Here is a 26,509-nt window from a genome sequence, read left to right as displayed (position 1 = left end):
AACAGGCTGCAAGGGGCTGACCCAGGAGAGAAATTCTGCCCCTTCTAGAACATTAGAACTGGGGGCTAGGAGGGAGGAGAAGGGCAGCACGCATCTGGGTTTTCCTTTAAACATTCCAACTGCCTTGGCATTTTGAAATGCAACAAGGAGCCATTGGGTTCCAGAGTGGACCTCGCTTCCCGCAAGGAATACATGGACCATGCAGGAGGGATCCCCAATCACGGGCTGGGTGGGCCCCAGAGATAGCTTCCTGGCCCAGGTCTGACCCCTCCGTCACTTTCCCAGAGCCCTCTCTCACCTGATCTGAGATCCAAAACTCAACCATTAAGCAAACCCCCTTCGCTGTCTGAGGCAAGCAGAAGGGGTATTGTCCCCATTCTCCAGATATAGAGACTGAGGCCCAGGGAGGGAGAACAACATGAATAGGGCATACATTGAGTAAGTGGCAAAGCCGAGCTTTGAAGTGAGGACTGCCTGCCTCCAGAGCCTACGTCCTGACCACCATGTCACACTTCTACCCCTCCACGGTTACTCGTCTGCATTCCACCAGGCTATGAGCCCCAGAGGTGGCAACGTGTCCCTTCCACTGCTACCACCCCAGCACTGCTATCACTGATGTGGGTTCTGAGGACATGCTCAGAAAATGAGGACTAACCAAGAGTTAACTCCAAACATTCCAGCAGCTGAGACCAAAGCAACTGACTTTCTGCAACTGCCTACCTGGCTCTAAGGTGACTGGAGAGCCTAATAATCAGCAAAACATTTCCAGGCCACTTCTGAGACACCAGAGCAGGCCAGAAAGACACACTATGGGCATGACGCTGGCCACCTGGGAGGCAGCAACACAAAGAGTAGCAAAGCTAGCGGGCAGCAGAGGCAGGAAGAGACCACAATGGGCCCCGGCTGACCGGAGATGTTCCAATTGTTAGCGCCAGCTCTCCGCCTGTTCCCATTACACTGCCATTCAGCCCTGCTGAAGCCTAGGGGAGGCTGGGCAGGACGGGGCCAGACAAGATTTAAGTGACTACCACCCAGGAGCCCTGGGGGAGAGGTGCACCCCCAGCTCCCGAACTGAGGCAACACTTCTGCTCTCCTTTTAGTCATTCATTCACACAACAAACATTGATTAGGCACCCACAGTGTTCCATGCCCCAGGCTAGGCCCTGGGAGTATGCTTGGCCAATGGAGCTAAGGACTCTTCAGACAAGTTACACAGGGATACCTTGGTCCCTAGCATGGGGCTGATTCTCCCCTGCCAGGGAGCAGCCCCTGCCAGCCCCAACCAGCCAGAAAGGTTGGGTGCATTCCTTGTTTGCCATCTTCTTTGCCCCAAATTGAATTCTGCATACATGGTGGTTTGAAAGAGACAAATAAGAAACCTAGGAGTCATGAGCAATATTAATCAGAGACCATTCTGCCAACAGAGGCTCCAGCTGAGGTCCCAAATGCATCCCTTAAAAGCCTCAGGCCCTTGCTGCTGCAGCAGGTCTCTTGGGGCACAGGGGAAGCAGGCAGGAAATTGGACGCCAGGACTCAGAACACTGGGTCCTGCGGCTCCAATTTAGACTGCAGGAGAAGGGGTCACTAAACTTCCATGAGCCTCTGGGCCCACAAGCCTGTCTCAGGGGAGTGGGGGCAGCTGGGGGAAGGCAAGGGCTCTATCGGTGCCTGGAAAGAAATCTAAGCGTTGGATTGTGCACCTAGAAATGGAGCCATTTCCATCCCTCTCAGCAGCTCTCAGGCTCCCTGGAGTTTGGCCCCAAACCATCTATCCAAAAAAATCCAGGGCAGGCAGACACATGCACACACACACACACAGGCCCCTCTCCCACACCAACCCAAGGGGCTCTTCCGTCCATGGTGGTCTCTCCTGAGAAGTACTGCCTTGGCCATCCTCAGCCCTTGTGCAGCTCGCCCTCCATCTGCAGGGAGAGGAAGCCACAGTGCCAAGCTTACACAAGGCTGCAGCTCAAAAGCAGCTCAGCACCTGGAGAGTCTCTGTGACACCCCAAGGCCCCACACCACCCACCTTGACCATCACAACCCAGTGGAGGATGGAGCACACCCCACCCCTAGCTTCAAGTCTGGGGCCTGGGGCCTCCAGAAGGGGAGATCCCAACCAATTCCCCAACCAGGCCCCCAGAGGGGTAGAGGCAGGATAATATAGGCATGGTCCAGCAGCTGCTCACAGCAAGCTCTGGGGTTCTGTGTGAGGGCATCAGAGCTGGGAGGGACACAAAGCGCTGGCCCCACCCTTAGTTCCCAGTCAGAGAAACTGAAGGCAAAGGGAAAGGGCCAGCTGAAGCCACACAGCACAGCACAGCAGTACCACGCCCAGATCCCAGACTCCCAGCCACTGCCCTCAGCTCCTCTACTACCTTCTCCCCGCAACCTCCACCTCCACCCAAATTGTAGCCAGTGTGAGCCTTGCTTCTCTTCCCTCCCTCCTTCTCGCAGGAAGCTGAGCAAACCAGGGTCCTGGGTTATAGCTTCAGCCTTGTAATGTGCACAACAGAGAGAGGGTTCCATTCATGTACCAACCAGGGCATATTACTGAGCCCTGGCCCATCCAGTGCTCCTCCCTCAAATGTGATGGGGTCCTAGACTGTCTGGGCTGGGGGCAGGGAGGGGGAAGCAGAGAAGAAGGGACTCGGTGTGAGTGCATGTGTGAATATGCACACTGCAGGCTGGAGAATGGGCATATGGGAAGCTGGGTGTGAGGGAGCCAGGGAGGGGCTGGGGGTATGGAGAGGATGGCAGGAAAGCCCAGGAACAGAGGCCACTGGAACTCCAACCTAATGCCCTCCAGCAGGCATGGGGAACTCTGGGAATGCCAGTGCCGGAACTGGAGTTGCTCAGGCGGCTTCTTCCCACCGCCCTGTGGTCAGGCTGAGCCCGCCTGGAGGGAGGAGCTGACCCAGTGAGGTGACTTGCTTTTCCCTTCCATGGACAGGGGAAAGGCCAGAGCCCGAGATGGAGAAGTTGTCAGTGGCTTCCTGTGGGGAAGTGAGAGTGGCGGTTCTCATACTGAATGGGTTTCCGAGGAGGAGGAACACTCAGGCACTAAGCAGGCAGGACAGTTTGCAAACAGCCAGGAAGCTTTCCCGAGCAAACCCCACCAAAACAGAATTCTTTCACTGGGTAATATTTTCCTCTCTGCCCCTGTCACCCATCCTCAAACGGGTCTGTTGTTTTCATGATCTGGGAGAGGAAACCGAGCCCCTCTCAGCAGAGACCTCAGGCGCCAAACCAAACCACTGACAGATACTCCCAGCTGGCTTCCCCTCCCACGAGTGGAGGGCGTGGTGGAAAGTTTGGGTTAGAAATTCCCTCCACGCTCCCACATGTGCCTGAGCCCCAGCGGCTTGGGCTCCGCAGGGCCATGCAGCTGAGTAGAGCCGAGTTGCGGTCTCTGTCCACAGATCTGTGGGGTGAGTGGGTGGCAACAAGTATTTATTGGGCACCTGTTATGGGCCAGGCACTTTGCATTTATGACCTAGCTTAATCTTCACAGCAACCTTCTCGGTTACTATTTTTATCCCTATTTACACGGGAGGAAACAGTCTCAGAGAGGCTGAGTACAGTGCCCACAGTCATCCCAGTATGGAGGGACAGGGCCAAGATTTGAGCACAGGTCTGTCTGAATCCAAAGCTCTTCCTACCCGACTCCACAGCCTCTCTGGAAAGTCTCTAGAATAGAAACTTCCCTGAAAACCTCAGGTATATCAGAAGGCTTACCAGCCTAGAAAGAATGCCAGTGTCTGAGACCTACTAGCCCATGGACAGAGCCCAGCAGCACACACTCCAGTGCCCTACGGATGACTGGCAGCCAGATCCCAGAGGGCTGCCCAGAGCAGTGGGACTGGGGCAAGTTGAGAGGGGCTCTGGGCACCTACGGCATCTGCTTACCTTCCTGCAGCTTCACACTCTGGAGGTAGAGGGGGTTCCTCAGGACGTCGCAGCGGCCAGGCTCGTCCTCCTTGGTGAAGAGCAGCAGGTCCGAATAGGCAAACAGTGTCACCTGGGTTGACAGAGAGCAAACAGAACTGGCTACTTTGCTGTCCTCTGGAGGCTGAGAGCCACAACCTCCCCGAGAAGGTGGGGAGCCACAGCCTCCCCAGATAATGCATCCTCATCATCTCACACAAAACCAGGAGCAGTGCTCAGTACAGCCTCAGCCAAGGGCAGTCCTGACCTGCAGTCAAGATGGCCCCATCACCCTCCAGCTTCCTATACTTCCACTCCTCAAAGTAGGAAAAAAGCAAACAGAAGGGGAAAAGTGGCCCTCACCCTCCATGGCAGCTGGTCTCTGCAAGCCTCTCCACAGCCTGATCCCCGAAGCCTACATCTCTGACCAAATGCTCCTGGAGCCTCCAGCCCAGCACCTGGGGCTTGGAGCAATCCTTAAGCTGTAAGATTTTCCATATTTGCTTTTATTCTGCTCTAAGTGTCTGGCTGAAAGAGCACTGGACTTGAAAGTCAGAAGTCAGGAGGCTCCTATCCCAGCTCTGCCACCAACTAGCCACAAAAATATTGGCTTAAACCCCTTAACCCCTTCAGTTTTCTCAACAGCCCAAACAGGGAGAAGAGTCCCTGCTTGGCATTCTTACAGGATCCTTCCAAGAGCTTTTTGCAGACCTAGTAAAGCGCCACACAATGTGAGCTAATATTATCAAATTCCTTGTGGATAAGTTTAATTGCATTAATGAGAAATCAGTTTAAGAAACAGCCAGTTACTCACACTCTAGTACAGACATGGACATCACTTTTATCTTTTTCATGCATTAGCTGCTCCAAAAATAAAGGCAGAGGCTATTCTTAGACATTATAGGTAAACCAACAGGCACGCTCAGCATATTTTTATGCTAAGAAAATCCACTTGATCCTTTAATGCCACTAAAGATTACACTGTTCTTTGTTTTGCAAATCCTGCAGTGGCCTTTAGTCAAAAGCAATAAAATCCAATTTTAGATTCTCCAAAGAAAACAAAGTGTTATTAAGTATGTGAACTTCCCTTTGAGATATCAAACACCTGACACCTTGTCTCTTCTGAAGAAGAACCAGCCAGAAGGGCTTGGCATGCACTGAAGGGTACCGTGAGTGTGTGTTGGACTGTTGGTGACATTTAAAAAGCCAACAGGTTGACATTCAGCTATCAACCTGTTAAAGATGACCCCACAGCCTCACTTCTGAGACTCTATCCTACAGAAATACTTACAAGGAGGTATAAATATGAACATATGAGGATGTTCTCAGCAGCATTTTTGTAATTTAAGAAAATAACAAACATTCATCAAGAGAAGATGAATAAAATGAATTGTGCTAACTTCATACGGCAGAATTTTATGCAACTATTAAAAAATAAAGTAGAGCTATGTGGGCAGAAATAGAAATCTGTCTATCGTAAATCAAAATAGTACAATGTGCAAAAATATCTAGCATAGAATCCAATTTTGTAAAACAAAACAACACATTTCTCTATAGTTATACATTTTTAAAATAGTTAAGATGCCACACTCCTCACTCCAGGGAGTGGGATTTTAATTGATACATTTTGATTTAATGTGTATTATATTTGCAATCACTGTTACTTTTGTAATTTAAAAATATAGAATATATATCAAAATATGGCTTGGCTTCTTGAGTGTAGCACAAATACAGAGGCTTGAGGAAATCTGGGCTGCAGAGACAACAGGGAGACGTCCTTGAAGGAGCTCTCAGGGGCTTTGGCTTCTCCAATGGGGCCCAAACATGAGGACTCCAGAACCCTGGGCTATAAGGCATCTTGGTAGTGACCCTAACCCTTCCCACCACAGCCCTGTCTCAGTGCAGCCCAAGAGAAGTCTTCAAGTGTTGAACGCTTCCTTTCTGCTCAGTGGATCCTCACTTATAAATAACACCACTGCCCTCATTTACAGATGAGGACCCTAGAGCTCAGACAGGTTAAGTGACCTGTCCATGGCCACACAGCCAGGGACCATTACCCAGGTATAGCTGACCTAAAGCTATCACTATACAGAGAGATACCAATGTGCTTACAGCTGTGCAGTTCCTGAATGTGAAAGAATCCAGAGACCAAAGAGGTGGAGCAAATGAGGCAAAAATAATAATTAATAATAATAATGATAATAATAATGTTAAGAGATGAGGTGAAGAAAATGACTCAAGAGCTCAGAAGGAGTCAAGGAATTGGTTGTCTGAGAAGACTTCAAAGTCCGAGCAATGGAAAGAAGGCTCTAAACTAGCCAGAAACACAAAGCAAACCCTCAGGGTCCCACAAAACGTGTCGCTGACTCAAGGGAAATCTGGTAGTCACCTCCAGACCCAGAGGGAGGCTGGCAGGGGAAGGGCTGGAGCCGACAATCTGTCAGGAGCCTAGAAAGTTTAAAAAAAAAAAAAAAAAAAAAACAGCCCAGGCCCAGAGAGGGGTGGAAGTAGGGCAAGTAGGAGGAGCCACCAGCAACTGGGGAAGAACCATGAGCAAGGTGAGAAAAGGCCCAGGCCACCACTCTGGCTCAGATTCCCAGGGCTGAGAATATGGTCTAGACAGGAAGTGATTAAGGCATAAATGAAAAATTTCCCAAAGGTTGGGTCAGGGAAAGGCCAGAGCTGGCACACAGCTGGAGGCAGAGCAGAGGGGCAAGCGTGCCGGGGAGGGCATGTGGACTCCCCCATCTCACCAGCACCAGCAGGGGCCACGGCAGCCCATGGGAGAGTGATGCCCATCTCCATGGCCCAATCACCTGTCGCCTTCCACAGGCCACGGGGGTCACCCAGTGTCTTCCCCACACTTGCTCCAAGGACACATCTGATTTTCCAAAGGGTCAGAGTTGAGGGATCACTTGGTAAGGGGGTCCTTACCACTTGGAGGGTGGCTTCTCCCAAGTGGCCCTAACTAAGCTTCTTCTTGGGAATCTGACCTAAGAGCAGAGTTTACCAAAAAGACTTTGGTGCCTTAGTTAATGGTAAACTCCATGAGTCAGTGTGTAAAGGGAGGGTGTGTCTGTCTTGTGCTTCATGGTATTCCCAGAACCTCGCACAGGGCCATAGACCTCAGGGCACATTAATCAAGTCTATTACTTCTGGAAGGGGCTGTGATGAGGGTAGTTCACGGTGCGGGACTGGATCAGCTCACAGATGTTAGCAAACTTGAGCATGCCCAGAGAAGTGATGGGACAAAGAACCAAGGAGGAACATTCCACAAATAAAGATTTCTGTTGAGTGTAAGGGAGAATGCTCTACAATTTAGCCCTTCCCAGTAAAAAAAAAAACCACTGCTCTAATGGGCTGCCCTAGAAGATTCAAGCACCAATCAGAAAACCATTTAACTGGAAAGTTACAAGGAAGCAATTAGCATGGATGACTCCTGAAAGCCTAACCAATGCTGAGATTTCATGAATTTATCCAAATCCCTTTGAATTTTTTTTTTTTTTTTTTTTTGGTGTGAGTAATATGACAGGATGCCCAGATCTACATGTTTGGTTGCCATCATACTTCAACAAAAAGGAATACATTAATATTTATTTTACTTGTCTTCAAATTGTTTCCTTCAATCTTCAAGGCTAAGGGAGAGGGGTCTCTTGGTTCTAAGTCTCCAGAGATCTATAAGGCAGGGTTTTCTGGACGAATTGCAACTGTCACAAGGCTCTGGCTTCAGCTTGTGTTCCTTAGTTTGTCTTTATGCAGACATGCCAGAAGCAGTGTGGGGTCATGGAAAGCATCACTGAGCCAGAAATGACCCGGCTCCATTCCTTACCAGCCTGGAGACTCTTGGGTCCCAGTGAATCTCACTGGAGCCTCAGTTGCCTTAACTACAGAGTGGGGACAATCGTGCCTTTCATGGGGGTGCTGCAAGAGCTAATTGGGGTCAAGTATGTAAAATGCATACACAATGAGGATACACAATAAGTGCTCAATGTTTGCAGATTCAAGGGTAAGTGGACAAACAGAAGAGTGAATTTAGACTTATGTATATGTTTCAGGGTGGCTGCCATCTCTAACTGGCTTCTTATGAGTCTGTGAATTTATGGCCACACCTCAATTTCTGACCCTTGGATGCCAGACTTAGGTCCACCACACTCTCATTCACCAAACATAGCTCTAAGTGACTTCTCATCCCTAAAACTTAAATCCCTCCCAACAGATGAAGTTTTACTCCCACTGAGACAATTCAGAAGATATGCAAAGATTGTTAAGTTCCCAAAGTTTGCAAAGTTCCCAAGAGGAGGTTCGGAAAAGAGGAGGTCCAGAAATACAGTAGGCAACAGCGAGCGGTGGAAGGGAGCATGCAGTCCCCCAGGGCACTCCCTTGAAAAAGATAATGTACATTTGGAATAGATGAGTTCCAGTCCAGTCTGCTTACTTAAAAAACAAACCAACCTCCTGCTTCAGCCACAGTCACACATAGTGTCCCAGAAGGCTGAGGTTTAAAGCGTCCTTACAGACCAACCTCTGACCCTGCCCTTACTGCCTCAAATACACACATACCTACTGCTCAGATGGAAAGACTGAGGAAGAAGGAAGAAATCACATGTGAGCCAGCAGCAGACCTGGGTCTCGATACAAACTTCCTGTCTCCAAGTTTCCTGATCTTTCCACTACCCCAAGCTGCCACTCGACTCAGCCAAGGCAGCTCTACATTGGGGCCTGATCTGCAAAGAGCCTGCTACCCTCACCCCATGGCCCCAGGTAGCCAGGGCAGAGCCCAGGGCTCCAACTTCTGTACCCAAGTAGTTTAAGCTCAGAGACTGAACTGACCAGCTCTGGGGTTGTGTAGATGAATGAAGTTCTCCCAATTAGAGAAAAGCATCCCAGGCCAGCTCCCAGGAAGGGTGACACAGGTCCCATGTCAGCACCCCACAGGCAGAGCTACAACCCAGGCGAAATCATAGACTCGTCTCTCAGAAGAGGACATGGGATTTGGGTTAAAACAGGCCCAGAAAACTCAGGTAAACTGATGCTGGTCTAAAAATTCACTTTGGCTAATAGCTTTACTCTTCCTGCCACCAAAGTCACTCCCCACAGCCAGGGTAAATTGCCATCTCTTCTGCTCCTGAGAGGAAGGTGGGATAAACAATGGGGTGTCTTTAGGGGCTGGGGAAACTTTCTAACCATCAAAGAAGGATTCGACAGCTTTTGAAAGGAGATGTACAAGAAAAAGCTGGGTAGCCTTTGCTAGGGAGAGTGGCGGGGTCCTTCTCAGGTCTCCCCTACCCTGAGAATGTACAATTCTAAGATACTCAGGAAGAGACCAAAGTGAGGGGCCTGGAGAATGCCAATGAAGCCCACCCAGAAAGCCCCCTAAAAAATGCAGGTGAAAGTCTTACCTCGGCAGCCTTGTTCCTCCCTTCATACAGCAGCAGCTCCTCTGACAGCAGGAGGGTCCGGGCAGGATTACAGAGATCTAGAGGCTGGAAATAAAGCAGGCTGAGTGGGCAGTTCAAAAAGAGGCTGGGTGAGGACCCGGGGGGAGGAAGCAGCAGCTTGTCAAAGCCAGCCACAGAGAACCCTCTGACCCAGAGAAGACTGTCAGCCCGCCACCGACCCGAGAACCCACACACCCCCTCATACATAAGATGGAAACAGAAAGAGAGACGCTGCTGTCCTGTGGAACTGTTGCTGCCACCTTCCCCATCAACCCTCACCGTGAGAGCTACACTCATTGACAGGAAGTCTAACCACAGGCTTAGGCCCTCTGCAGTCCTCAGCCCCAGCTCTCACCCCCCACTGCACTGGGCTCCTGGGCCCTCCCAGCCCCCGCCATCCCCCATCTATCCTGTTCATGCCTCACAGGACCAAGAGGCATCCTGAGAGCCACATGCCAAGAGATTTGGTCACTTGAGTCCCTTCAAAGCCAGGCCAGTCCCTGCTCTGCACTCATAGCACACTTGAACTGTCTCCTTCTCAGGCAATCCCCCAAGGGTCAATTATCACCCAAACCTCTCACCCTACTCCCTCACCTTGCCCAGCCCAGCCCAGAGGAAGCTCCCTAAGCTCTGGATTACCCAGCAGGACTTGTCCTTATGACTGTATATTTCTAATATGGCTTCTAAGTACATGACATCAAGCAAGGTGCTTAAAGAAAGATCATGAAACAAATAGCAAGCTGGACCTGAAATCCCAGCTACTTGGGAGGCTGAGGTGGAAGGATCATTTGAGGCCAGGAGCTTGAGGTTACAGTGAGCTGTGATCATACCACTGCACTCCAGCCTGGGGGACACAGCGAGAGACTGTCTCTTAAATAGAAGTAGTTTCTTATACAAATATTAAAATGAACATGAAAATTAGACACAGGCCGCATGTGGTGGCTCATGCCTGTAATCCCAGCACTTTGGAAGGCCGAGGCGGGTGGATCACCTGAGGTCAGGAGTTCGAGACCAGCCTGGCCAACATGGTAAAACCCCGTCTCTACTAAAAATACAAAAAACTAGCCAGGCATGGTCGTGGGCACCTGTAATCCCAGCTACTTGGGAGGCTAAGGCAGGAGAATTGCTTGAACCTGGGAGGTGGAGGTTGCAGTGAGCCGAGATCGCACCCTTGCACTCCGGCCTGGGCAAAAAGAGTGAAACTCCATCTCAAAAAAAAAAAAAGAAAAAGAAAGAAAATTAGACATTGTAGATGCCAAGAACTTTGTGTCACATGCTAAGAAAGAGAAGAGACCCACAGAAAGGCTAAGGCCAGGCCCTGCTGACAGAGCTGTCTAAGGGGAGGCGTGTGAGCTCCCAGAGATGTGTTGCATCCTAACAAAGTGTGCCTACTGGACAGTGACAGGCTCAGACTGGGATGCCAGGGAGACCAGAGAGGCACAGGCAGAAATGAAGCCCGTGGGGCCAAGTCATGTCTATGCTGCTGATAAGACGATAAACCATTAGAATCTTCCTGCAAAGCAATTTGTCAATATGTGTAAAGAGCCTTTAAAATGTTTATGACCCATGACCCAGTCATTTCCCTTTCAGCAATCTCTCCCAAGGAAAATAATCAGAGAGGCAATCCATGCGCAAGGATTTTCATCACAGGGTTATTTACAATAGCAAAAGAGTAGACAGAAGTATCTGAATACAGAACTGGTTAAATAAATACAGTATACCCATATAAAAGAAGAGTGGGCAACCACCGTAAAACACAGAGCATTTAGTGGTGTGGGAAAGGTTCATGCTACAATTTTCCTTTTAAAAAGGCAACATGATATAAAATATAGAATAAGGTCTGTTTTTTAATGTGCATATGCACACAGAAAAGATGCTGAAATGTTCACACTATCATATCTGGGTGATGGAATAAATAAAGATTTTTAGGTTTTTGTTTTGTTTCTTTTTTTTTTGAGACAGAGTCTCACTCTGTCTCCCAGGCTGGAGTGCAGTGGTGTGATCTCGGCTCACTGCAACCTCCACCCCCCAGGTTCAAGCGATTCTCCTGCCTCAGCCTCCCGAATAGCTGGGATTACAGGCGCCTGCCACCGCACCCAGCTAATTTTTTTGTATTTTTAGTAGAGATGGGGTTTTTATCTTGACCAGGCTGGTCTTGAACTCCTGACCTCAAGTGATCCACCACCTAGGCCTCCCAAAGTGCTGGGATTACAGGCGTGAGCCACCACACCTGGCCCAATAAAGGTTATTTTTAAAGAGAAGGAGAGATAAATGGGGAGGAAAAGGGGGAAGAAGAAGAGGCTGGAGTGCAGGGTTATGATCACAGCTCATTGTAACCTCGAACTCCTGGCCTCAAACGATCCTTCCATCTCAGCCTCCCAAGTAGCTGGGATTTCAGGCCCAGCTTGCTGTTTGTTTCATTATCTTTCTTCAAGCACTTTGTTTGACGTTGGAGAATAAGAGCGATCTAGTGAATCGCAGGCCACCAGTGAATACAGGCCAAACTTGTTTGCAGAGACCAGGGAGAGCAGATAAGGCACAGACCCCAAGGGTCTCCCTCAGTTATTTTCAAATAAAAAACCACTGGGTGAGCCAGGGAGCGGGAGCTTTGGCAAACAGTCCCTGTGACATGGCAACAAGCAGCTGGGGTGCACCTGCCCTTTCCCCAGAGAAAGGGGAGGCGAGGTGGGGGAAGGAGAGGACCCTTTCCTTACTGGGCTATCCCGGCCTCACTTTTTCCTGTGTATCTCCCTGGAAATCTCTGCTCCCTCAGTATAAGCCCCTAGAATCCTATGCATCTAAAGCTACTTATCTTTCCCAAAACAGGGCCCTCAGTCCTGGGATAAGTCATCATCCCTGAGTCCTGGGGCAAGGGCCCTCCTCTTTCTCCGTTCCTCCTGAGGGAACCTTTAAGACCAGCCACGGGCTCACCTGAACAAAGACAGGGAACACCAGGACTTTGGGGGCCAGGGTGACGTAGGTGCCATAGCTTGAGTGCGTGGCATGCGGCCTCACAACCGGGCAGTTTTGGTAGTTCCCGTGGCCCTTCATGGTCTGCACTGTCTTCATCAGCCGGGACTTCTTCCCCAGGCCTGTGTAGGACTTCCCTTTACTGGGACTCCCTGATTCTGTGAAACAGAGATGGGGGACTATGAGACATTTCCGTCACTCCTGCAAAGGTGTCCCCTCTGTAGAAACAGGGGACACGGACTCATTCCGTCAACAACCACTTTCTGAGCAGCTACTTTGTGCCAGGCCCTGCGCACGATGCTGAAACACAGGGAGGCTTCACATGGGCTCGGGCTTCAAGGAATTCCCTCGCACTCTAGTGAGAGACGTTGACACGTGAGCAAGCAAGTCCAGGGCTAGCACAGCGCTGGGCACCACCAGCTATGATGGAGGCAGCACACTCCACCTGCTGACCCAGGCCCCGGATCAGAATTTCCATTTTGGCCTCAGTCTTTTAAAAATCAAGAAATCGCTCATATTTGAAAAATCAGAAGATCTGTCCTCACTGAGCCCACAGTCCCACGTGGAACAATCAGTTGGAGCAGAGTGGTGACCAGCCTGTGTGGCAGGGTACGCGCTCTCCTTAACAGACCCCCACACCATTCCCACTACTCCCTGCACAAGCTCAGCCCAGCCCAATCTGTTTCCTCCCTCCCTGCCCCACAGACAAAAATCCACTCTCTGCAGCAGTGGCAGCGGAGACCAAAGGCTTTCCCAGGATGTACTGGAGTCCTCCCTCTGTAGCCAAGGGAGCTAGAGCAGCCTGGCCCACTCCAGTCAGTCTAGAATAAGGAGTGGCACTTGCTGCCCCAGGTCACAGGAAAGCGCACAAGCTTCAAAGCCAGGTGGCTGTGCTCAAATCCTGCTCCCCTGCTTACCAGCTCAGTGAGCTTGGGCAACTTATTTCACCCTCAGAGTCTTGATTTCCTCAACTGTAACAATAGTGCCAAGCTCACTGGGTTACAGTGAAGATTAAATGAAATACTCTAAGTTCACTTAGAGTCTTTAGAACAGTGCCTGGGACCTAGTAAGTGTGTGATAAAAGTTAGCTGCAAACTCAGTGTTGTTTCGTTGTTGTGATTTCTCCACTTGGAAAAGCAAGTTTGGGAGTCAGGTGCCCCATAGGACTCTGGGAATCCCAGGCTTCACTGTACCCAGGAGGTACTCCGGCTTGGCCACCAACTCACAAATCATTCTAATCATAAGGAGAGAGAGAGAGAAACAGAGAAACAAGACCACCCCCAGGAAGGACAGCAGAGGCTGCAACGGCGGTGTGGGGGGAGGGGTCCCTCTTTAAGGGGACACTGATGGACACACACCCCTCACCCTGAACAAGGGGTGGTGCACACGTTTTTGTTGTTGTTTTTTTGTTTGTTTGTTTGAGACGGAGTTTCCCTCTTATTGCTCAGGCTGGAGTGCAGTGGCCGATCTCGGCTCACCACAACCCCCACCTCCCAGGTTCAAGTGATTCTCCTGCCTCAGTCCCCCAAGTAGCTGGGATTACAGGCATGCACCACCACGCCCGGCTAATTTTGTATTTTTAGTAGAGACACAGTTTCTCCATGTTGGTCAGGCTGGTCTCGAACTCCCAACCTCAGGTGATCCGCCCGCCTCAGCCTCCCAAAGTGCTGGGATTACAGGCATGAGCCACCATGCCCAGCCTGTGCACAGGTTTTTGTTACATTCCGTCTAGTAGGCAGAGGGACAAAACACAAAGTCGCTAAAAAGTCAGGGGTTCCTGGACCAAGCAGGTGGGAGGGAAACTCCAAAGCAGTCAGGCTCCACACACTCCTGGGCCCCTTCTAAGGCATTCCTGCTACTGTATGGGCAACTACCAGGTCCTCACTGACCTGGGTGCCCAGCCTGGGTCCTGGGTGCAGGCTGTCTTCTGCTGCCAGCAGCCCTGGCAGCGAGGGGGGAACAGGTGGCCTGACCCCAGCTATACCTCAGGGAAGCTCCCCACCAACGCGCACCCACAGCCTCGGAGATAAAACTCACCTCAGAAGGTTTCACACTTGCTTCCTCCTCCCACCCCCAGCCCCTTCTCACCAAGCAAGGTAAGAAAAACAAGTTGACTCCCCCCGTGCCCCTGACAAGTGACCACTGATCATAGACAAATCTGGGGGCAGCGCTCAAACCATGATAACTCAAACCACTTCCTGCCTCTTCTGTGAGTCACGGAGAGAGGAGTAGAATGAGCATGAGCCCTGGATGGGCACAGGAGGAACAGATACAAGGAAGATGTCACATAGCTCCTTGTCTGATCTGGCCCTACATATCAGTCCCAGAGGGATGTGTGCTGCCAGGCCCTGGACCCTTTGTTTAAAGCACCATCCTCAGTCTCAAGATCATCACTGAATTTGAGTTGGATAAGACACCCGAGCTTGATCACTGACTTCCCAAGTCAGAGACAGTCTGTGTAACCCTGAACAGCTTCCTTCCTTCTCTGAATCAAAGTTTTCTCCACTTTGAAGTGGAGATAATACTGATTGCTGCCTCGCTTGCCCCAGGGCCAGTGGGAGGTTCACACAAGAGACCTGATGGAAAAGAGCTTGGTGGATTGTACCACAGTGTGAGTAGTCAGGGGATTATCACAAATCCTAAGCCTCCAAGTAATCCACCTACCAGGGTTAGTAGAAGGATAGGCAGGGCTGCTCGGTCTCAAACCATGCTGTGAATGAAACCCCATGGCCAGCCTGGATCTAGACAGTCTAATTTAACATGGTTAAGCCTACAGCAGAGAAGGCAAAACCATGCAGGACTGACAAGCAGATGACTGGAACAAAATAGACCAAAAGTAAAGATGGGTACCAACTGTAAATGCCAAAATCTGGGTCCTGGGCCCCCAGTCTCGGACTTCTTAAAAAATTGATTTCTTCCCTTCTCTAGCCCAGGGGCCCAGGGCTGTCACAGAATCCTCACCAAGGGCCTCACCTGAAGTACCCAACACATAATTCTGCCTTCAGAGAGGAAAAGTCGGCTCAGCCCCATTTTGTAGACAAGGAAACTGAGGTCTGGAATGGTAGGGTGACTGGTCATTTGGCTAGTAAATTATACAAGGCAGGATTAACCCAACCTATGCAGCAGTCATGCCCTTGTGCCCAATCTCCACCCACCCCTGGATAATATGTGGCTAGTGGGAGTGGCTCTGTAAAACTGATTTTTTTTTTTTTTTAGAACAGTACAGCTTGCAACCCAGTTACTGAGCTCTGTGAAGGCAAACTCATTTACTTCCCACCTGCTACCGATGTCTGGTCCAAACCCCCATATCACCCTTTTCTCCTCCAACACCTGCTTCACCGACCAAATACAGTAATTACAGGGCTTTGCTCCCAGATTCTGAGGCGAGCCCTGGCAGCCACCCTGCCCTGGCAGTGGCGAATCTGAGGCCAGGTCACCTTTACAGGGCAGGGACAATGCCAAGGGCACCAGCAGCCCTGGGAAACATGCCAACCACAGCCGGGCAGGCACTCTGGGCTCCGGAAGGGCACCAGACCCTATTCAACTCAGGATGGCTTAACTCTCCCTCCTATTCAACTCAGGATGACCCAACACTCCTGAAGGGCTATCTCTTGGCAGCCCAGCCAGAGGAGGGGGACTAAGAAGCCAGCACCCTGGTGACAGCCTTAACCTCTGGACAATCCCAAGTGTGTTTAAGGGAAATTGTGTGCCCTGAATTTCACCCTTTCCTCTGAATCCTAAAATTGTGAGCTACAAAGACTTGATCCCTGGTAAAGAGTGAAGATTTATTATTATGAAGAATACATAAAGTAAGGTCAGGATCTTAATACAATGCATTCAAAGAGCTAGCATGGTTATTAATATCATCATCATTTCCTCACTTGTCCCTTTCCCCATGGCTTAGATAACTGTGCTCTTGCTGACTTACTATGTATTATACTCTCAGAGGGGAATGAAACATGGATACAGGCTGGGAGCACAGAAGGGAGACACAGAAGTACCTCTCAACTGAGAAGGAATCAACCCCAGACACCAGCCTGTGTGCATGGGCCCACTCCAGGCAGCACACTTCTCCAGCCCCCCTCCTCCACGACCAGACTCCAAAGCCTCAGAGGCAACCCAAGTCGTTCTCCTTCAGTCAGTCACACAACCAAAATTCTACTGAGTATCTGCCATCCGCCAGGCCCTGGGTCCTGCACTGGACCTACAGAAATAAGCCAGGCCCAGGCCTTGACCCTAATGAAGTCCCTACTTAGCTGCAGCATCTCCACTCTAACCTAATGTGCCAACCAAAAGCTTTTTAAAAACTCATCATTGATGGAATACTACTCAGCCATAAAAGGGAATGAATTAACGGCATTTGCAGCGACCTGGATGAGATTGGAGACTATTTTTCTAAGTGAAGTAACTCAGGAATGGAAAACCAAACATTGTATGTTCTCAACGATACATGGGAGCTAAGCTATGAGGACGCAAAGGCATAAGAATGATACCATGGACTTTGCAGACTTCGGGGGAAGGATGGGAGGGGGGTGAGAGATAAAAGACTACGAATGGGGTGCAGTATATTCTGCTCGGGTTATGGGTGCACCAAAATCTCACAAATCACCACTAAAAATCTTACGTAACCAAATACCACTTGTACCCCAATAATCTATGGAAAAATAAAAAATAAAAATAAAACTCATCATTGAATTGCTGTCGGACTTCTCCCCAGAAGGAACACAGATTTATTTCCAACTGACCAGGCTCAACTGCCCAAATGCCCCAGACCGGAGAGAAAGAAGATGTCTTCCATCAGCATCCCTGAGCCTGATGGGAGCGCTTCACACCCGCAAAAGGCACAAGCACTTTTCCAACTACCCCCTAGAAGCATCGCCTTCACACCACTGAGAGGGGAACAGCAAGGAAGCAAGTCTGTGAGTGGCTAAGCAAAAGCCACTGTCAAGGAAGGCGGTCCAGACACCAGATGGACTTCTGAGTCAAAGCTTTCTGGCAGGCACGCGAAGGATCTCAAGGAATGCCCAGCCAGCTTCAGCCTCAAGACCAATATCTCAGCCTTCCTGGGAGAAGAAAGTGGTTTTGAGCTCAGCTTCCACCCCTGATCAGGATTTTAAAAGCCAAAGAAGAAGAATCCATCCAGCAGCAGAGACATCTGTGCACTTCAAAGACAGCTACCCTCTGTATAGCCTCTCTCAGTATACAGGCAACTACTCATAACCATTCTCTCATGGGATCCCCCCAACAACCCTCTGAGGTAGGAATTATTGACCCCATTTTATAAATGAAGAAACTGAGGCTCAGCGAGGGGACAGGATTTTTTTTTTTTTTTAGACAGAGTCTCGCTCTGTCACCCAGGCTAGAGTGCAGTGGCATGATCTCGGCTCATTGCAACCTCTGCCTCCCAGGTTCAAGTGATTCTCCTGCCTCAGCCTCCTGAGTAGCTGGGACTATTGGCGCACACCACCACGCCCAGTAGTGATTTTGTATTTTTAGTAGAGACGGGGTTTCACTGTGTTAGCCAGGATGGTCTCAATCTCCTGACCTCGTGATCCACCCACCTCAGCCTGCCAAAGTGCTGGGATTACAGGAATGAGCCACCACGCCCGACCAAGGAGACATGATTTGCTCAAAGTCATATAGCTAGAACTCCAACTCAAGACCTCCCACCTCCACGCTCCCTGACTCCCTTCCATGCAAGCCCAACCACATTGCCTCTGGCACCTAATATATATCGGTTGCTCTGTAAAATTGGATGAATCTCAATTGAATGCCTGAGGCCTGGACACACGGTCTCTCAAAATGCCCTGGTAAGATCCCCTCTCCTCCTTCTCAGTTCTGGCTTCAAGGAAGAAAGACATTGGTTCCGTGAGGGAGAAAAGGTACCACGTGGAAAGAGAGTCTGTGTCGATAGGCTAAGTGACCTGACTCCATTGGAAAGGCCTCAGAACTCAGGGGCGGAGGCTGGGCCAGGCCTCAGCTGACCCCTGCTGCCTCTCTGAGCTAGGAGGGCACAGCAGCAGCAGGAGACTCACCTTCGGGGATGGTATCCTCCTGGTACACAGGCCGGAGCAGCTGCAAGGGAAAGACAGGAAAACCACCTCAGCCCCAGGAACAGGGCAGGACAGCCCAGGAGGCTGCTGGACACGGGGGCCCCAGGGGAGAGGAAGTGGAGCACCTCAGGGCACAAGAGAAAAACAGCAGTTCTGGTAACCAGCTGAGGGAGGAGGCTGGGAGAGAACACAAAATCCCAGAATATTCAAGTTGAAAGAGGCTTTATGGGTCATGAAGCCTAACCCCTTGGCAAGTCCCCAACTTCCTTTACAGCAGCTGGTTCCAAAGTGCATTCTAGGGAACACTGGAATGGTAAGACGGTACCAACCACGCCCTAAAGTGTGCCCCCATTAGGCAAGTTTGGGAAATGCGGTGTTATTTGGTTGACACCTGCTGTAGTACAGGATGCCAGCAGAGCCTCTACTAGGCTCCTTTGCATTGAGAATCTCCTAGATGAGGAAGAGGGTATGGGATATGTCGCAAGCTTATTTGACCTCAGAACACCTTTTTCCCAGAGCATCTCATGGGACTAATGTTTTGGGGAGCGCACTCCATCATCCCACCATGCAATCATGCAGTGTCTGCTTTCATACCTCCTATGATGGGGGCTCACCACCTACCAAGGCAGCCCATTCCACTGGGGAAAAGCACAGGCTAGTAGAAAGCTCTTCCTTCTGTGAGTTGAAATCTTCCAGCCTGTGCATGCCCTGGTCTTGAATCTGTGCCCTGAGGCCACATAGACCCATCTGTCCTCCCTACCAAGAACAGCCTTGCAGAAGGCAGAGCTAGCACATACCCCATCTCCTTGCCCAACATCGCAGCCCCTCACAGGCTGCTCATCACACAACTTTGGGTCTTCAAGTCTTCCTGGCCTCCCACAGGGACCCAGTACCCTTCACCTTCCCCACACCAGCTGTCCGTACCTGGCTCCCAGGATTCAGCGGGGCCAGGATGATGTAGTTGGGGTCGGTGGGGGCAGTGGCACGGGACAGTGCAGGCAGGGTGTGCTGGCCCCCGCGCTTGGCCACCTCGGTGTAGCGCTCCCAGCCGCCGAGCAGCAGCCCATCAGAGCTGTCACATACCAGGTGGCAGCTGTGGCGCTGCTCAGGCCGTGCCTGGACCCCATGGGTGCAGTTCTTCTCCCGTTTGTTGGGGGGTGACTGGAGGTCATGTGTCGACTTGCAGGAGGCCCGCCGCAGGACCCCGCCATCTGGTCCTGGCTTGACCTGGGGGACCATGCGCCACACGAGTAGGATGATCTCACTGGGGCAGCTCCTGGAAGGTGGGGGATCACACAGACAGGTTGAGCCTGGGGAAAGCCAGTATCAGCCAGAGTGAGGGCCCACAGGGCAGAGAGGATAATGGGGGAAGAGGAGGCAGACACCAGAGGGGAAGCCCCCAGTGTCAGGGCAGGAAGGGATGCAAGAAGCCATTTAAAGAAGAGACAGCAAATGGGTCACCTAGGTCAATTCCTATTGACGGGCAGTGGTTGAGAAGGACCCTGAGGCCAGGCCAGTTTCAACAGGAAAGAGTTCCATACTCAATCCATGATGCTTATCAAAAGCAAGATATAAGCAAGTAAAGCTAGCAGGTCACCTAAGTGCAAGCCCTCATCTGGTTATTCCAGAAGCAGACCTAAAATGGGGCCATCGGGGTTTTACCCTAGAGGATCAAAATTTGGGAGACTCCAATGTTTTCAAGAATATTTTTTTAATTGTGCAATTGAAACATTTGCAACATCTTCATGCCCTTAAATAACAAATGGGCTTAGCTCTTAGGTAACAAAAATTAGCTAAAGCAGAAAGCAACCTCCTGGTGCCCCGTCCTGAACCACAGAGTCTGAGAGCATCTTCCCTGCTGTTTGCTCTGGAATCCAAAAGTGCTCTGAGCCTGAACCTTCCATTCTCAGGCCAAGAAACAGATTCCTTGAAGAGCAAAAGGAATTGCCTGCTCACAGCTAGGCAAAAGAGGGAGCAGCAAGAGCTGGGCCAGGCAAGGCAGTGTGCCCAGGGGTGGGGAGGGTGTGCCATCAGCCTGAGGCCCCAGGCCACCCGCTGTCCCCTGTCACCGGATCTCGTGGGCCAGCTCCACACATTTCCAGTGCTCCACAGGCCTCTCATTCAGCTGCAGCACCGTGTCCAGCTGCTGCAGCCCTGCCCGTTCCGCCGGACCCCCTGCAGGGACAAAGAAAAGCCATTCAGGGGCCCCTGAAGCCTAAGACCCCTTCAAAGGATCTGGAGTCCTTTGCTGCCATGGTGACCTCAGACAAGGACCTCCCTTTTTCTCTAAGTTTCTTCATCCGTGAAATGAGGGACTGAACTTGGTGCCTCTCAAGAGCCTTGAAAGAAGGCATCCCTTTGCCTTCCCTTCTCCCTGCTTGCCTCCCCTACTGCTGGCTTACCTCCCCTACTGCTGGCTTACCTCTCTGCAGTCCACCCTTCTACCCGGGCCCTTACCCCTCCCCAGGGCCTCCTACCCCATTGAGAACCTTCCCTGGGGCCAGGCTCCCACACTACATTTATTCCTTCTCTGCCAATCATTGTGCACGAACCTCATGCCCACCCTTGTGTAGGCACTGGAAACACCCTGACCACTGAGCCCTGGCTTCTGTCTTTGAGATGCTCACTCTGTGATTAAGAGAAATCTTCATTTGTGAAAAGTAGGGAAGGATGGCTCTTTTTAAGTGCTGATCAGGCTCTGGATAGGATACAAAACAGCTTCAAATAGAGTTCACAAATGACTCTCATTTTCCCTTGCAGCCATTGCTGAAAATATAGGTTTAGTTCCTGTTCAAACTGATTGGGAAACAAAATATAAAAACCTATTTTCATTTTGATAAAAACAACAAAAAAAAAGTGGGCATATTTTCATAAATGGCAGTTTCATCTACGGTCACTTAAAAATATTATTCTTTTCATTTTGAAAAGCCAGGACACTTTGCTCCAGTTTGGGGCTCCCCTTTTAGTTCCAGACTATGTTTGCAAAGCCCACATGTGTGGTGGGCAAGTGGGGTTGGCATCCCCCTGTCAATAACTTACCGGAATCCACGGCCTGGACTCGAACTGGAGAGTCGCAGCAGATGGTGAAGCCAAAGCCGTCCTTTCCCCTCGGGATGGTGATCTAGGACACAGCCCTGCCCGGTCACTGCCAGAAGCTGGAGGCTCTTGCCTCTACCCCAAGGTCAGGAAGCCCACAGCCCACCCCTGCCAAGAGCCACCCTCCTCTCCAAGGGAACTGGAGGCACAAAGGAGCTAGCCAGCCCCTCAGTGTCCCTATCTCAGCCCAGACAACTTGAGCACTGGGTTGTGGGCCAAGCAGGAAGGCCCAAAGCTCAGCAAGTAAACCCAGGCTGATGTGGGGAGGGCCTGGGATGGACAAGGTCTTGGAAAAGCAAACTTTGCCATCCTGAGCCCCAGCAGCCCCAGCCCTTGATCCAAGGGCCCACCAGCACTGCATGACTCAGCCTCACCTTTGATCCACTGTTTTCCTGGCTCCCTTCTTCCTTTCTCACAGAGGTTCACAGAGCGTTAGCCTGGGGCGGGCCCTGTGCTAAGGGCCCAAAGTCAAGGCCAGCCTGGTCACTGCCCTCCCAGAGCACAGGGGAGGAAACACTGGGACACACTCACTCCATCTCAGGCCAAGGGTCAGAGGAAGAGAGCTGAGGTTCTGGGGGCCAATCTGTGGCCAGGGCCCCAAGGCATCCCATGAGGACTCCCAGGTAAGGTCACAGATAGGCTTCCTGGCTGAACCTGAACTAGCCACTGACTCATGTGCCTGCTGAGGCCCATGTGCTTGACAGGTCCACAACTCCTACTTTCAGAAGTCCATGAGAGGGCCTTGCCATCTGGATGCTCTTTTCAAACTGGCACACAATTATTGAGCTCCTACAGCATGCCAGGCTCTGTGGACATACAGAGGCATGCAGCCTTGGTCTCTGGTTCCCAGAGGAGCACGAGGGTACACAAACCTCTCCAGAGTGAAGCAGGGCACAGCGGGCACTAAAGAAAAGCAGGAGGACTGGGCCATTCTCAGTCCTTTATGCTCCGACTATGGACGCCATGCTTGGCACATGGTAGGAACTCAGCAGAGGCTAATGCAGGGAGGACAGCCTGGCAGTGTCCCACACACAGGAGGATGTAGGGTGGTCTGCCAGCCCATTCCGGCTGCTAAAGGCAGCACAAATCAGAAAAGGGATTCAAGGGGTCCCGAGAGACCCCCTAGAGAAACTGGGACTTGGGGTGGGCCCTGGTGAGGCACAGGGAAGGGTGTCCCAAGTGAGTTGAGACAAAGGCCAGCTCAGCAAGCTTGGAAAAGGTCAAGGGCACAAGCCTTGTCAGGAGACTTCTGTCTCCTTCCTTTGAGGGTTGTCCCTGCAAGACTAGGCACCTGCACTCATTCACCTACCCACCATCCCAGGGCCAGGCATAAGGAAGGTGAGTGGGAGGGGGCTCAGAGTGACCAAGGGCCTTGGAAGCTGCAGGGACCTCTGAGGCTCTGCTTCCCACCAGCCCCGGGCCTGGATTCAAAGCAAGTTTGTAAAACAGGAAACCTGACAGACAAGGGGAAGGGGGAGGAGGCAGGAAAATACCCCGTTCCCATAAGAATTCTGGGAAAACACGCAGCTAAGACAGGAAGAGAAAAAAATGGAAAGAAAGAAAGAAAAACAAACGCGGGTACGAGTGTGGAAAGCTGGGGGAAAGGAGCAGCCACTAGTTGCCGGGCCCGCCTGAGGCCAGGGAAGACGCCAGGAGCCTGGCCCCCTCCATGGAACCAGCGGGGATTTTTTAGGGGCCTCACAAGCCAACCCTCAACCCAAGCACAAGCTGGGGTCCCAAAGCCTATCCAGCACTTCCCCACCCCTACCCCATCCAGGGCCAAAGCCCCCTGCATAGAAAACCCATCCCAGCACCCTGGGCTCTGGATGGCCAGTTATGGGGCAGTAACTGGAGAGTGGGGTCTGGGGAGGAGTGTGCTCCAAGAAAACAGCCTCCTCCTCCCACACCCAGACCCCACATCCAAGCAGGACTGTGGGCTGGGGGCCCCTCACCCTCCTGGGCACCAGCTTAAGAAGTGCCAGCCCAGACCACAGTCCAAGCCAGATGGGAGTGTGAAGGAGGGGAAGAGGAGAGGGTGCCGGGAGGCAAGCTCACCTCCTAGCTCGGAGGAAGCAGAATTACACTCTGTCCACCATGATCACTGACCACATTGAGAGGGTAGTGTCCAAAGAACCTGACCATCCCTGCAGCCCCTAGGGGAATGAGTATGCCCATTTTACAGACAAGGAGATAAGACTCGAAGTGCCACCCCCTCCACCCTCCGGCTCTCAGCCCTGCTCTGACCTGGAGGTGAAAGGAGCAGCCCTGCCCCGAGGCCTTGGCGGCTTCTGACAGAGCCTGTCCTTCCTGCGGGTGGTTCTCGCTCTTTCCTGTCCAGGGCAGGAACAGCCACTGCTCCCAGGTCTCACCCATGCCAGCCCCTTACCTCTGCTCTCCTGTCTAGTTTCTGTTCCTCTGTCCTGCCTAGACTGTAATCCCCAAATTCTGCCATGTATTAAACACCTCCTAGATAAATATGCACAGCAGACACTGAGCCAGGCTCTTCACACACATCATCCTATTCACTCCCATGGCACCATCGCTGGATTTCATTATCCTATTTTACTGACTAGGAGATAAAGGCTCAGAGAGGAACAGTGACTTGCTCAAAAGCCACAGCTAAAGAGGAACAGAGCTAGATTTGAGCTCAGACCTGACAAAAAGCTTGCTGCTCTCAATTCTGCACTGGTTTCTAACACAGAAACCATCTTGAACTCTGAGTCCCTGAGCCCTAGGTCCAGCCCACAATTGCTCCTGGCCCCACTCTGACAGCCAGCATGCCCAGTCTTCTAGCCCATAGCCCCAGGGTGACCAAGGACTACTAGATGTCCCAACCAGTGCTCTCTCTGTCTCACCACTCTGCCATCCAGACGCTAGTGTCGCAGGGGCTGCTTTTCCCAGCCCCATGAGGGCAGGAAACACAGAGTGGGGCCTGAAGGGCAGAACCTGAGAGCGGGGGAGGGCTAGAGAGAAAACACTGGATCCCCTAGCAGGCAGGTGGGGGGGCAGGGACCCCTCTGGGCATCTCCCTGGGACCTAAGCACTGCCAGTCAGAGGAGTCAAGACCCACAGTCCAATCTGGTCATTAAAACAAATAGAGGGGCTTCTCTATGTGATTTTTTAAAATCAGGACAATTTCAGAACTCCCTTCCAGATTAGATATCACTTGCCTTCACCATCCCTAACCCCATTCCTATTTTATGAGAAAAAATGGCCCATCACAGTTCTAGAAGAGGCTCAGGGGAGCTAATGGGATCATAATGGCCCAGTCTTCCCCCTTTCTAAGACCGGAGGCTAAGAGGCCAAACCCTCACTGTAAAGTTGGATTCCAAAGCCAAAGGAATCCTGAGCCATAGTGAGGCATCAGCAGTAGGGGAGAGGAAAGTTATACATATGTACATATACACGAAAACACCCGATCTCACATATGAGCACGTGCCAACATACACGCACAGGGGGCAGAATGGGCACTGCTGTCCTGTCAGAAGCAGGAAAAGTTAGCAAAAATACAAACTCTGCTCCCAGCTGCTCAGCAACCATGGCATTTTCAATCTCACACCCACAGCCCCTCCCCAGATAAAAAGAACAGAAAGCTAGCTGGATTATCTCACCAAAAACACCACCCAGCCAGTGGTTAGGACTCCATACAGAGCTGGGCCCTAAAGGGGCCTTGGGTCCAGCTCCTGTCTCTATCCTCCTCCCCATATCCAAGTGAGCCTGCAGGGAGCAGGAAAGGTCAAAGAAGACCTTGTGAGGAGCGAGATCCTTCTCAGATGGTCCCTCTACCCCTATCCCTGAACACCCCACAGGCTCCCCACAAGAGGCCAAGCACCCACCTGGCGGTAGCGGCGCTCCGAGCACACCTTGCAGAGCCCATTGAAGCGGTTCATGGCTGCGGGTCCTGCCTCGGCTGCCGCCCCATGAAAACCCAGCTCTCCCCCAGCAGCGGGAGCCCGCACTGGACCCGTCAGCCTGGCATGAGCACCCTGGGAAGCCCGCCCCACAGAAGAATGGCAGGAAATCACCTCTCACCTCCCCAAGCCCTGTCTGTGCTGTGTGCCTCTGCACGATAAGCCCGAAGGCTTCCTGAAACCTCAGAATGACAAGGAAGAGGGAGAGTTTTATATTAAAATTCCTGTCAACTAGTTAGTATTCCCCGGGCCCGGCGGGGAGAGGGCGCCTTTGTTCTGGCTGCATTCTCCGCCATGGGCCACTTTGTGATTCCAATGTTCTCACAAACACCCCTCACTGGAGGAGAACCCAGGCAGAAAACGTGGCTGCTCTATAACAACACCTCCTCCCCCTGCAAGTCCCAGGGACCCTGCTAGAAATCCAGGAGACTGCCCCAGCCTAAAGAATCCAAGGATACCTTGGGGGGGTTTGCACTCACAGACATCCCATCTCATGACAGGGAACATAAAACATTTGGAGTCTGAAGACCTGCCTGCCACTTGGAAACTACTTAAAAGTCAGTTTCGGCCAGGCGTGGTGGCTCATGCCTATAATCTCAACACTTTGGGAGGCCAAGGCAGATGGATCACTTGGGGTCAGGAGTTCAAGACCAGCCTGGTCAACATGGTAAAACCTTGTCTCTACTTAAAAAATACAAAAATTAGCTGGGCGTGGTGGCAGGCGCCTGTAGTCCTAGCTACTTGGGAGGCTAAGGCAGGAGAATCACTTGAACCCAGGAGGCAGAGGTTGCAGTGAGCTGAGATCATGCCACGGTACTCCAGCCTGGGTGACAGAGAAAGAGTCTGTCTCAAAAAAAAAAAAAAAAAAGTCAATTTATTTGTCCTTTGTCCATGGAAGTGGTTTGCTGTCAGGATCTGGTGATACACATGGACCATAAAGTCAAATGTGGAAGGGATTTCCAGGTCATCAGACAACCCAGCGTCCTCATCTTACTGACAAACAAACTGAGGCCTGGAGAGGTTATGGTCAAACAGCAGGGCAGTGTGGGGCTAGGACCAGAACCTGGGTCCTATTTCTTGCCTGGCAGTCCCAGGATAGCATCCTGCAGAGCAG

At 51.4% G+C, this 26,509-nt stretch overlaps 1 protein-coding gene across 7 annotated transcripts in view, besides 11 other annotated features; it reads right to left on the bottom strand.

Moving 5' to 3' along the window:
• Positions 1–26,509, bottom strand: part of RGS3 (regulator of G protein signaling 3) — a 153,009-nt gene that overhangs the window by 70,788 nt on the left and 55,712 nt on the right. For 4 of the 7 annotated variants that reach the window (NM_144488.8, NM_001282923.2, NM_001394167.1 and 1 more), the window contains 7 exons: positions 21,428–21,509; positions 20,458–20,563; positions 19,313–19,664; positions 18,371–18,410; positions 12,297–12,493; positions 9,327–9,410; positions 3,910–4,021 (listed from right to left, as the gene is read on the bottom strand). In NM_144488.8, the coding sequence (NP_652759.4) occupies positions 3,910–4,021; positions 9,327–9,410; positions 12,297–12,493; positions 18,371–18,410; positions 19,313–19,664; positions 20,458–20,563; positions 21,428–21,509 (973 nt within the window). Of the gene's footprint in view, positions 1–3,909; positions 4,022–9,326; positions 9,411–12,296; positions 12,494–18,370; positions 18,411–19,312; positions 19,665–20,457; positions 20,564–21,427; positions 21,510–25,320; positions 25,445–26,509 lie in introns of those variants that run through there. The other 3 variants (NM_130795.4, NM_001276261.2, NM_001322214.3) reach the window with 1 other exon arrangement.
• Positions 1,734–2,544: an enhancer, noted in NCBI's record as "H3K4me1 hESC enhancer chr9:116286687-116287497 (GRCh37/hg19 assembly coordinates)". NCBI's record gives its function as "activates a minimal SCP1, AML or CMV promoter by ChIP-STARR-seq in primed H9 embryonic stem cells {active_cell/tissue: H9 hESC(primed)}" and the evidence as "EXISTENCE:reporter gene assay evidence [ECO:0000049][PMID:30033119]".
• Positions 3,176–3,235: an enhancer, noted in NCBI's record as "active region_28847". NCBI's record gives its function as "activates an Ori minimal core promoter by ATAC-STARR-seq in GM12878 lymphoblastoid cells {active_cell/tissue: GM12878}" and the evidence as "EXISTENCE:reporter gene assay evidence [ECO:0000049][PMID:35858748]".
• Positions 6,650–6,699: an enhancer, noted in NCBI's record as "active region_28846". NCBI's record gives its function as "activates an Ori minimal core promoter by ATAC-STARR-seq in GM12878 lymphoblastoid cells {active_cell/tissue: GM12878}" and the evidence as "EXISTENCE:reporter gene assay evidence [ECO:0000049][PMID:35858748]".
• Positions 6,720–6,769: an enhancer, noted in NCBI's record as "active region_28845". NCBI's record gives its function as "activates an Ori minimal core promoter by ATAC-STARR-seq in GM12878 lymphoblastoid cells {active_cell/tissue: GM12878}" and the evidence as "EXISTENCE:reporter gene assay evidence [ECO:0000049][PMID:35858748]".
• Positions 8,486–8,775: an enhancer, noted in NCBI's record as "active region_28844". NCBI's record gives its function as "activates an Ori minimal core promoter by ATAC-STARR-seq in GM12878 lymphoblastoid cells {active_cell/tissue: GM12878}" and the evidence as "EXISTENCE:reporter gene assay evidence [ECO:0000049][PMID:35858748]".
• Positions 9,177–9,306: an enhancer, noted in NCBI's record as "active region_28843". NCBI's record gives its function as "activates an Ori minimal core promoter by ATAC-STARR-seq in GM12878 lymphoblastoid cells {active_cell/tissue: GM12878}" and the evidence as "EXISTENCE:reporter gene assay evidence [ECO:0000049][PMID:35858748]".
• Positions 9,467–9,716: an enhancer, noted in NCBI's record as "active region_28842". NCBI's record gives its function as "activates an Ori minimal core promoter by ATAC-STARR-seq in GM12878 lymphoblastoid cells {active_cell/tissue: GM12878}" and the evidence as "EXISTENCE:reporter gene assay evidence [ECO:0000049][PMID:35858748]".
• Positions 14,563–14,652: an enhancer, noted in NCBI's record as "active region_28841". NCBI's record gives its function as "activates an Ori minimal core promoter by ATAC-STARR-seq in GM12878 lymphoblastoid cells {active_cell/tissue: GM12878}" and the evidence as "EXISTENCE:reporter gene assay evidence [ECO:0000049][PMID:35858748]".
• Positions 14,903–14,952: an enhancer, noted in NCBI's record as "active region_28840". NCBI's record gives its function as "activates an Ori minimal core promoter by ATAC-STARR-seq in GM12878 lymphoblastoid cells {active_cell/tissue: GM12878}" and the evidence as "EXISTENCE:reporter gene assay evidence [ECO:0000049][PMID:35858748]".
• Positions 22,344–22,984: an enhancer, noted in NCBI's record as "H3K27ac-H3K4me1 hESC enhancer chr9:116266247-116266887 (GRCh37/hg19 assembly coordinates)". NCBI's record gives its function as "activates a minimal SCP1, AML or CMV promoter by ChIP-STARR-seq in primed H9 embryonic stem cells {active_cell/tissue: H9 hESC(primed)}" and the evidence as "EXISTENCE:reporter gene assay evidence [ECO:0000049][PMID:30033119]".
• Positions 22,985–23,627: an enhancer, noted in NCBI's record as "H3K27ac-H3K4me1 hESC enhancer chr9:116265604-116266246 (GRCh37/hg19 assembly coordinates)". NCBI's record gives its function as "activates a minimal SCP1, AML or CMV promoter by ChIP-STARR-seq in primed H9 embryonic stem cells {active_cell/tissue: H9 hESC(primed)}" and the evidence as "EXISTENCE:reporter gene assay evidence [ECO:0000049][PMID:30033119]".

Source organism: Homo sapiens, chromosome 9 (genome assembly GCF_000001405.40).
Source record: "Homo sapiens chromosome 9, GRCh38.p14 Primary Assembly".
Lineage (NCBI taxonomy): Eukaryota > Metazoa > Chordata > Mammalia > Primates > Hominidae > Homo > Homo sapiens.
This window is presented reverse-complemented; position numbering and strand designations above follow the sequence as displayed.